Source organism: Homo sapiens, chromosome 17, assembly GCF_000001405.40.
Source record: "Homo sapiens chromosome 17, GRCh38.p14 Primary Assembly".
NCBI classification, from domain to species: domain Eukaryota; kingdom Metazoa; phylum Chordata; class Mammalia; order Primates; family Hominidae; genus Homo; species Homo sapiens.
Genome location: NC_000017.11, coordinates 14,694,081 through 14,705,866, shown reverse-complemented (window position 1 = coordinate 14,705,866; position 11,786 = coordinate 14,694,081). Strand labels below are relative to the sequence as shown.

The window sequence follows — 11,786 nt, the reverse complement described above, 5'->3', positions numbered from 1 at the left end:
TATAGAAACAAGTTAAGTGATACAATGAGAAAGTGACAAATGACAGAAGGAAAAACACTCTGGAGGATCATTGGCCTGATCTCCTAAACTTAACTAGTGCTATTTCAAAGAGACATAAGGAATACAACAAGCAGACACAATGCATAGTCCTGGGTTGCATATAATATGGGGTGGGGGGAGAACAAAAAAAAAAAAACCCCAAAGCACAGCTAAAAAGACTTCTGGGGACAATTAGGAGATTTTGAATATTGTCTAACCATTAGATGAGATTAAAAAATTATTGAAAAGATTCTTCCACAGGAGGCCTACACGCCGCCGCTTGTGCTGCTGCCATGTCTCTAGTGATCCCTGAAAAGTTCCAGCATATTTTGCGAGTACTCAACACCAACATCGATGGGCGGTGGAAAATAGCCTTTGCCATCACTGCCATTAAGGGTGTGGGCCGAAGATATGCTCATGTGGTATTGAGGAAAGCAGACATTGACCTCACCAAGAGGGCGGGAGAGCTCATTGAGGATGAGGTGGAACGTGTGGTCACCATTATGCAGAATCCACGCCAGTACAAGATCCCCGACTGGTTTTTGAACAGACAGAAGGATGTAAAGGATGGAAAATATAACCAGGTCCTGGCCAACGGTCTGGACAACGAGCTCCGTGAAGACCTGGAGCGACTGAAGAATATTCGGGCCCATAGAGGGCTGAGTCACTTCTGGGGCCTTCGTGTCCGAGGCCAGCACACCAAGACCACTGGCCGCTGTGGCCGCACCGTAGGTGTGTCCAAGAAGAAATAAGTCTGTAGGCCTTGTTTGTTAATAAATAGTTTATATACCAAAAAAAAATTATTGAAAAGATGAATAATATTAACAGCAAAGTTACAAAGCAGTATGTTCAATATAAACTCATTTCACTGCAACATTATAAAAGATCTCACAAGGTATAAATTAGTGTTAAAGAGGTATCCTGTGAGTAGTGAGATGTGTTTTTGTATTCTTATGTTTGTTCTGTGTACTTTATAATTTTCTAAAATATGCATATCTACTTTTATAGTAATGAAAGGTGATTTTAAAAATACAATATACATAAAGTACTCTATTATAATAAGTACTCCAATGTATATATATAGAGACTACCAAAAATTAAAAAGTACATAGACTAATGAATATGCTGTGTTCTTATAATTTGCTTAAAATCAATCTGTAAATAGAATGGATTTTCAGTCCCAATTTTAATGTGTTCATTTTTTCTTAAGTCTACACTTTACTATCATGGTACAAAAAGCAACAGCCATAAAAGAAAATTGACAATTAAATGAAACTACATAACTTTTGCAGTTTAGAAGTAATTGAGTGGCAAATGTTGAACAAGGGGCAAAATTTTACCACATGAACAACAGCTTAATAGCTTTAATAGATAAAATGAGTCATTTTAAATCAACGAGAAAAAAATATCTACCACCGAAGAAAGCAAATGATACTAACTGACACGTCTAAAAATTATAGAGTCATAGGCAAGAAAGCTTTGGGCTCTGAGGACACCAAGGACAGCTCCTAGACAAAGACGGGCAAAATTCAGTCCGTTAATTCAAACTAAATATGGCCTGAGAAGGACTCTGTTCTTCTATATTTGAGTCCTTGTGGATGAAATGCAACCTAACTTAAGAGGTAGACAAGATTGAAAACCTAACTTTGGAGTATGTGTCTGTAACAACAGCTGAGTCTTGGCCAATCTCAGCGGCTGTACTTCAACCACTCATAGACTGCTGAGTGTTCAAACCGTGTTCAATTAAGGCAAACACAGACCTGTAACCAATCCAGCTGTTCTCTGTTCTGTAACTCACCTCCGATTCTTGTACCTCACTTTACTTTTTTTTTGAGACAGATTCTTGCTCTGTTGCCCAGGCTGGAGTGCAGTGTCACGATCTCGGCTCACTGCAACCTCTGCCTCCCGGGTTCAAGCTATTCTCGTGCCTCAGCCTCTGGAGGAGCTGGGATTACAGGCGCCAGCCAACAAGCACCTGGCTAATTTTTGTATATTTAGTAGAGACAGGTTTCGCCATGTTGGCCAGGGTGGTTTCGAATTCCTGATCTCAGGTAATCCACCCGCCTTTGCCTCCCAAAGTGCTGGGATTACAGGTGTGAGCCACCGCACGTGGTCACATCGCTTTACTTTTTTGTCTATAAATTTGTTCTGACCACGAGGCACCCCGGGAGTCTCTCTGAATCTGTTGTGATTCCGGGGGATGCCCGATTTTGTGAATTGTTCATTGCTCAATTAAACTCCTTTACATTTAATTTGGCGGAAGTTTGTCTTTTAACAAGTCTGAGCCTCTAAAATGAGGTTGCAAGCCGAGTGTGGTGGCCCATGCCTGGCCTGTAGTCCCAGCCACTTGGAAGGCTGAAACAGAAGGACTGCCTGAGCCCAGGAGTTTATGGCCAGCCTGGGCAATATAGTGAGATGTAGTCTTGAAAAAAAAAATAATTTGAAAATTAAAATAGAATGAGGTTGCAAGCTCAAATGTCTCCAGATTGGGTATGCACATGTGTGAATCGGGATACACAGTGGGTACAAAGCAACGGGAGGTGGTGAAGGCTGGGTGAACTAGAGCATGTATGTATTACCTAACGATAGCCAAATCATTGTTATTTTTTAAAGCTGTGCTACTCTGATTTGGCCCATGGGCCACCAGTCTGTGGTTTTGTATAGTTATTAAAAAGTAAAATGGTCTAAAGGAGCTCTGGAAAATACACTTCAGACAAAGAATCACACGTTCTTGGATGAAGACTGTAAGAGAAACTAAAGATACCAATGGTCTCCCAGTGCAGATTTTTTTTTAATGTGCAAATGATGCAAGAGGCACACTAGACATTTACCCTGGAGATTTCAACTGAGTAAAAGGAGGCAAACTTTAGGGACTTTCAAGTAAACAGATGCAGAACTGTAGAGACAGCTATTAGCTAGAAGGAAGAGAGTTAAAAGGGCATGACTGAGGGAAATAGAAGTTGAGAGAGCATGTTGTTTGCTGCAGACATTGACTATGAAAGGAACCAGAGCTGGTCGTGGTGGCTCACACTTGTAATCCTAGTATTCTGGGAGGCCAAGGCAGGTGGATAACCTGAGGTCAGGAGTCCGAGACCAGCCTGGCCAACATGGTGAAACCTCGTCTCTACTAAAAATGCAGAAATTAGCCAGGCGTGGTGGCGCGCCACTGTAGTCCCAGCTACTCAGGAGGCTGAGGCAGGAGAATTGCTTGAACCTGGGAGGCAGAGGTTGCAGTGAGCCGATATCATGCCACTGCACTCCAGCCTGAGCGACAGAGCAAGACCGTATCTCAAAAAAAAAAAAAAAAAAAAAGAAAGAAAAGAAAAGAAAGAAAGGAACCAGAGCAATAGGTTGATGGCTACAAGTTGGAGCAAAACTGTAAGGTGTTTTTTTCCCAAAGTAATAGTTATCATTTGTGGGACCTGTAGGCCTGGCTCTAGCTACATCTCCACACACATTCTCTTACTTATAATAACAGCCCTGTACTGGGTTGCATAGTGTCCCCCAAAATTTATGTTCACCCAGAATCTGGGAGTGTGACCTTATATGGAAATAGAGTCTATGTAGCTGTACTTAGTTAAGATGAAGTCATACTGGATTAGCCTAGTCTCTAAACCCAATGACTGGTGTTCTCATAAGAAAGGCATATGAAAATGCAGACAGCTATACTCCTAGGGAGAGTGCCATGTGACCATGGAGGCAAAAAATTGGAATGATGCAGCCACAAGCCAAGGAATGTCAAGAATCATATTCCGCAACCATCAGAATCTAAAAGGAAACAATGGAAGATTCTTCCCTGGAGTCTTCAGAGGGAAGATGATTTTGCTGGCACCTTGATTGGAGACTTCTAAACTCCAGAACCATGAGTGAATACATTCCTATTGTTCCAAGCACCACCACCCACCCACCCACAGGTTGTGGTAATTTTTTACAGCAGCCATAGAACACTAATACAAACCCCATTGTTGTCAGGGGAGAAGAGAGACACTGAACATGTTGGGATGGATTTAAATAGAAAGTCATGTGATCCCAATAAGAATACCAACAAGCTTTTTTTGAAGCTAGACAAGTTGACTTAAGGTTTCTTAGTAAAAACATTCATGCAGCAATAGCTGTGAAAACAATGAATAAGAATAACAAGTGAGGGAGATGGAATTAACCCTAACAGACAATCAAATACCACAACTCCTCTAATTAAAATAATGCAGTACTGGTGCATGGACTAGGTTAAAAGTCCAGTAATAAACCCAAATTCATGTGGAAATTTGCTACCTGATTGGTCCTTTTGTTTTTGTTGTTGTCGTTGTGTTGGTTACCTTTTTTCTGCAAATACACTCAGAAATAGGGCTTGGGGGTACAGCTAAAAGAAAGGTTGATTTTCAAATGAATTCAGAGAGCTACAGAGTGCAGGAAAAGGTGGCACTCTTCTTCCATCAAGACTACAGGGCCACTGATAAGGAACAAATCACTTAGAACAACAGATAAAAGTTATGGGAGGATGGAGCTAGCCACACGTGGAGGTGTGGTTACCTCTGGAAATGAGTGAGTCTCCTGATAAATCAGAAGTAAAGAGGCTTGCAGAGGAAATGTGAGGGGCCTGAGGTCCCGGAGTCCATCAGCCAAGGTGTAGACTGGTCTTGAAGCCCAAATGAAGACTCAACCAAGAGAAGCACCATGTTTTTTCTTCCATGGCTCCCACATATGCAATGCGATGAGCAAATGGAGAATGGACACTAACGGGACTTTGCTCCTGGATTTCCTTGGGACTTCCTGGTGGACCTGAGGTGCCCAGGCCAGGAGTTTCTACACCCTGGTTGGGGGCAGTGGCTGGGGGCCTGATCTCAGGGAGGCCTGAGTGCCTGGAGTAGTACTAGGGAGAATACCTCTTGTCTTCCATGCCATCCCATGCCGTGCGCTGTCAGGTATAATCACCTTGTCATTCATCCTGTCCAACTTATTTCTCCAATAGGAGTTACCACAGACAGTCTGAGCTGAGACCATTTGCTTCAAACCAATGCTGGGGAATGACTGGCTTTCAACCCAACAATGACAGACACCTCTGCCTCTTTAAGGCTCAGATGCCACCTTCCTTGTGTAACTTCCAAAATTTTGGGAAGGATGTGTTTCTCATTCTCACTTTCTCTTTTAATGAATCAAAGACATTTACTAAGCTTTCTGCAAGGTGAGAGTGAGCAGGGGCTAATGTGGGTATTCATACTTCAAAAGAACATTCAAATGTAGGGAGTAACTGACACCTCTGTGGACAAGTTAGTGAGGACTAGTTAGGAAAAATACCAGTGGTTTTCTGATCCAAAACCCTGTGATCTACCCTGTCAGAGCCTGAAACTTTTTAAGTTCATGTGCTTTGTTTTGACTTTTCCTCATTTCCAAGTCAGCGTTCTCAAGTGGTAATTCGAGTTACAGGATGGTGTTAAATCGCATACTTCAATGTGTGCAAACCTAAAATAATGCCAAATGTAATATTTTTTCCAATTGTTTGAGAATATGTGCTTGATCTTGAAATCATTTATAAACGATTTCATCCATTTGGATTTATTTGACTTTTTAGCATGATGAAATTAATGCTGTTCGTAAAAGTATCATTTATTTATATTCAAGTACTGCCTAATTCATTAAATAAGAATAATTGTTGGTCTTTCTCTTCCTTCTGAAGTAATCCTTCCTCAAAGAGACAACTAAGCAGCATAATGACCCCCCTTTGTTCTCTAGCTGGAAGTGTCCTATCACTGACTCCTTTATTCACTCTCCTTTATTTACTAGGTCAATAAAGCTTTCATAGCTCTTTTCCTTGTTCAAACAAAAACAAATTCTCCTCTCTCACACCCTCATTTCACTTAGGAATTTGCTTTAGTCATAATTAGATTAAAGCTCCTGAAGTTCTATTCAACTAACAGTGTATGTTAGAAGGATTCTTAGCAAATAGTTTTCCAAAGCCTGTAATTTGCGTAGCAATGCAATCAGCTCATCTCTGAGATTTGCAGCAATGACTGGTGTTTAGTTCAGCATCATGCTTAAAAAGCATTCTAATAGGCTCACAGTGACCATAAGTGCTATTTGCAAAGGCCTGAAAATTCTGGGTAATGGTATTCTGTGCAGGAAATCATTCTCTTAAGCTAATCCCACACACTGTTCATTTTGTCTGCCCAGGTTTTGCATGACTCTGCCTGGAATGGTATTATAATATTTTGTCAGGCTGCAGGCCAGTGACATTGGTAGAACTTTTGGTTCATCCTGGGAGATGCTTGACACAATCACTTCAGCTAAGGCCAAGCAGAAAGTAGAATGAATTTTTTGAATAATTCAAAGTAAATAAACCATACCATCATCTTTGCCTTCCACTTATCTTTGACTGTGAAGAGAAAACTGTGTCTAAACCTACAACGAATTGAATCTGGAATTTGGAGTTACCTTTCAAATAAGTCACTTGATCATTTTAATTTTGTTAAACTGCAAAATCAGTTCTTCTTTCAGCCAATATGCTGAGCTCATAGATTGGGTACGGGTGCTGTAAGATTTACACAGGGATGCTTTTCCATATAAAACTGTCACAGATGAGACCAAAACAACTGGGTGATTCAGACAAGTCAGTGAAAAAAAAATATATATCACTTGGCTTTTGAGTTTCTTCCAGTCACAGACTAGGAGCATCTTGGTCCATGCCAGTGCTGATCATGGGCCTGAATGTGAGTGTCCCATATGCCAGGGTTGACTTCTATAAGTTGACAAAACCAATTAATTCAAGTGAGGTCCATTTAATGTCCATGTGCAAATACCACTTAACTTACAAAGCAAACAAGGAAAGTCTGCATGTTTGGGGAGGGGCAGTCAAGAATAGTAGAATAGAAGTCAGCCGAAACTAGTTGGTTTGAGAATTGAACTCTAAGCCCTAAATTCTCTTAAATGTATGAAGTAAATGCATAGTCCTCATTTACCTGCACTTTCACATGACTTAATTCCTCAATTATTTTAGAGCTTCCTTAAAGCAAAAATTAAAGCTTACAGCTATCTCTAGCCATAAAAAGCACTCAGTTAATTAACTGACTAGGAGGTATGCAGTTTTCTAATTGTTAACTAATTTAAGAGGATAAAGAAATCCTGTTGTAAGCTTTGTGACTAGTGTTAACCCTTTGCCTCGTTTTGTCAATTCCCAGATTTGGGCCCAAGTCTTCACTCATACTGGGCTGCGGAGCATGTCTACAGGAGCTGCTGTGGCTGGTGACTGGCATATCTGCTTCCAAGAACCCATCCACTTCTTAGGCTATGACCTAGGAGGGCCCAACAACCAGAAGATGAGGGGCAGGGATAATAATGGAAGCAACACCATGGACTGGATAGGATAATTCAATCTAAGCAATCTGTCATATCACCCCTCCATTTCCTCTCTTTATCATGCATAAACCACTCATTCTTTCCTTCCATAGGATTTTCTTTTAGGTGGTCTTGAACTTGGAATGGCCCTGTGAAAGTCACTAGGTCTGTTGGAAATATTGGATTCTCTCTTTTCTCCAGACATTTGGGAGGGTTATTGCACATCCTTAGGTGTGGCCATGGTTCTTGGTTTGACCAGAGAGGTATGAACGGACGTGATGTGGGCTACCTCCATGCAGAAATGTGAGGAGCCAGTGCGCGCTTTACCAAGTGCCCTCTTCTTCAGCCTCCAGGGCCACCGCCAAAGTTCCCTGTGGCAGTTGCTCCATCAGCTGGGGCCCAGTGTAGGTGATGACGTGGAGCAGAGTTCCTAGCCCACTCATAAAGGGCATGTAGCCTGAAAGAGACTAACCTTTTTTATTCTTCCTTTCGTATAAATCTCTGAAATTTGAGATTATTTGTTTCTATGGCACAAACATCTACCCTGACTAATAGTCACCTGATTCAGCCCTACCATTAGGCAAATCAATTTTTTTTCATTTCTTTTTTTTTTAATTTTAAGTTTCAGGGTACACGAGTAGGATATGCAGGTTTCTTACGTAGGTAAACGTGAGGCAAATCAATTTCTAACAGGCTCGATTTACTCAAAGTGAGTCACGTTTAGCCCTAGCTTTAGGGGATCACACTTTTTTTATATGAATAAGAGGATTCCAGAGAATGATGATTTTAATAAAAGGCTAGATTAATTCATAGTGTTCCAGAGAGCTGATTTTCGTGGTTCACTCGTGCTAAGGACCCACATATACACCTTCATTTCGGGTGTTTGTTTCTTGTAGTAAAAATTAATGTTTATGGTGGGTGTACATGCATCTTTCAGTGCAATCTTGCAGTCTAGTTTGCCTCTGGTGATATTTGCACAAAGCCATTTCTGCTTTAGTCTTCATTCATGCACACTTAAGCTCTCCTGCTATGAACTATCACATCCATATGCCCATATAAGCAAGACTTACATACTGGTTCTCACTGAAACTTGAGGTGAGGAGCAGAGGGAGAATTTTCTCATTGTTCAGGCAGCAGGGTCAACTGAGTACTGGATATTTATAGATATAATGTTTTATATAAGTCAATTACTAGGGAGTATATAAAAAACAAGGGCCACAGATTGCATTTTGCAATGCATACCTTTTCCTGTGCTGTCCTGGCTCATGCTCCAAGAAATGCAGTTACTTTTGTCTGTGCTTTCAGTTACAATTTTGAATAGGGATCCTGGATATTTTAAGCCACTGTAAATGTATGAAGAACAAAATGCAGTCTATGACATGATTATGATATTGTGAAGTTATTTCCATAAATTAACTAGAGCTAGGAAGAGAAATATGTTTTAAAAAATGAGATTGTGAATGGCCCATTTTTAAATTTTAAAATCCTCTCATTATTGTTAAAATGTTTTAATAATAGAAAGCAGAAGATTCATAAAACATGAAAACGGCACAGGGTTTGAGTGAATTGGCATGTTCCTACTGTAAAATGATTCGAGTGGCTTGACCTGGGGTGTTCAGTCCATCTCTGTCCTTCCAAACCTCCCTGCTCCCCAAGCTCTCTTGGGACACTGGGATTATGGGAGGTTGCTTCACTGAAACTCATTCATTAAAGATCTGAGAGTGGGGTGGATCTACCAATCAGTTTAGTACTCCAAGTTAGTTGGAAACAGCTGGTGTTTGCCACACTAGACTCTGGTTCCACATACACCTCTTCCAACAATTCTACAACATCTCCATCAGAATGTGCATTTAGAGTAATGAATTTCTGTCATTAATATGTTGGGCATGTTCCATGGCTGTAAAGTATCCCACAAGAGAAAAGTCATCGCTACAGACAGACATGTTTTATAGCTGCTACTGATTTACAGGCTGGTAAAGCCACTCTTCAATTGCCCTTGAGGATAAGAAAGAGCAAGAAAAGCAGAGAGTGAAATCACCCAGATGGTGTCTTGGTCTCCTCTGATGTGAGGGTTGAGAATGCAAGGACAGTGGGCACCTAAATAAAAATCTTTTCTTTTTTGAGTGTCTCCATCTCAGTCACTCCATTCTGAAATCTTGGTTTTCTTGGTATCTGTCAGGTATAGGGTTTTACTTTGCCAGCAGAGCAAGCTGGGACCATCTGACACCTGGAGTCTAGCAGACTATGAGGGTTGGACACACCACAAGGAGTTAGAATTAGAGGAAGTATTCACTCATTAGCATGGAACAGAAGTCATTAACCCTCTGCTCTCCATTCAAGATCCCTGCTTAATGAATGACCAGGGCTGGCTAGAACAGAGACTGGGCTGGCAGAGAGTGAGTAAATTAAGAGGACAGAACTATAGGAACCACGGGACCTAAGTTTTCAATGAAAGGGAGAATCAATATTTATTGATCACCTACTATATGATCAACCAATATTATTAATCACCTGCTATGAAATAGGCATATTCTTTAATCTTTATAATAACCCTATGAAATTGGTATTATCTTTATTTTATGGAAGAAAAAATGGAATATGGTGGTTGAATGACTTATGTGAGGTCAAAACAAACTCTCTCTTTCCCTTACCCACAATTTTATTTCCCAATTCCATTGACATCTTCCACCTTCTTGCTTTCTCAGGCCCTTTCAGGAACCAGCACTTCTAGTGCTTTTTGCTTGTGGGTTCTATTCATAAATATGCCTAGATTTTCTGGCCCCCAGTAGTCAGACATGATTATAAAAATTCCATCTGGATAGTGTAAAATTAAAATTTGTAGTCTGTTTTCTCCCACTCCTAATCCCACAGCCCAGGAATCACCAAATTTAACTATTTCTATTGACCTCTAAATAATTTCTTAGACTTCTGTTTCCTAACTGGTCATCTTTAGAAAGTGTCTGCAGATTTCCTATCATGAAAAATGAAATTTCAATACCCTTGCAATAATTGCAATAATCTTCTGCCTTTAAGTTTTCAGTTCACCTCTTCTTGGTTATCACCTGGGCTTTACAATAACAAATCAATATTTCTTGATCTACCAATTTTAGGTAGTCCCTCTTAACTTGCTGTATGTAATATGAATTCTTTAGCCATGTTACATTTTCTCTCTAACTCATCTTCTGAATTTACTCCCGCCCTGCATTCACTGTATCATTGATTTTACATTGCCACAGACTAAGGCTTCTATATTTCTTTCTGAACTGGAAAGTCATTAGTGCTTTGTCTATAAGTGGATTTTTAAAATTGAGTACCTGTAATTCACATTTAATGTATTAGTATTGTCGAAATATCATTTACTGCAGAACCCAGCAGTGAGTTTAATTCATGGAGATGGAAACTCTGTGGCATTAAATATGTGTCACCTAGAGTAGGTTTCAAAAGTTGCAAGTTGAGAGGGAAATAAGAAAGTGACCTATGTTTTGCATTTTTTTTTTTTTTTTGAGATGGAGTCTCGCTCTGTTGCCGAGGCTGGAGTGCAGTGGCACGATTTCCGCTCACTGCAAGCTCTGCCTCCGGGTTCACACCATTCTCCTGCTTCAGCCTCCCGAGTAGCTGGGACTACAGGCACCTGCCACCACACCCGACTAATTTTTTTTTTGTATTTTTAGTAGAGACGGGGTTTCACCATGTTAGCCAGGATGGTCTCTATCTCCTGACCTCGTGATCTGCCTGCCTTGGTCTCCTAAAGTGCTGGGATTACAGGCATGAGCCAACATGTCTGGCCTGTTTTGCATATTTTTGTAGTTAATATTATAATTTTTATCTCTTTTAATTGAAATTATCCAGCTTTCCTATTTTAATTTTATAGGAAATTATTCTTGACAGTATTCTCAGAGCCCTTGAGCTGTCAGTCAGGTTCGGATAACCGGCTTTCTAAAACCACTGTAAAGAGGTTATTCTAGAATTTTTTTTATTATTGTACTCCTGGGTTTGTTCTGCTTTTGCATCTAACTCACTCACTCTTTTTCTCTCATTCTCTCTCTCTCTCTCTCTCTCTCACACACACACACACACACACACACCCCACACACAGATTCCTTTATCATTTTGTTGATGTACATCTTGATGTATAAGTGATAAACTTTTGAGCCCTTTCTGTCTGGGAATATCTGCCTTTTTTCCTTTTTCTTAGTAGAGTCATTTCCTTGTATATTTTTTATACTGAGACTTCCTCTACTATAATTTAAGCAAACAACCTTCCCTCTTTTCCAAAACTTTGAAAAGTCTTTACTCCACTGCTGTGCTCCATTTCCTAAACCTGCCCCCATTGTAAGTGCTTTCATAAACCCACCCCATGCTGTTCAGTAAATTATTAGGAAAGAGAAGGAAAATGTGTGCTCAGTCCAACTTCTTGA

The 11,786-nt window shown here is 40.4% G+C and overlaps 1 pseudogene; it reads left to right on the top strand.

Annotated features, from left to right (window-relative positions):
* On the top strand, positions 291-830 carry RPS18P12 (ribosomal protein S18 pseudogene 12; annotated as a pseudogene).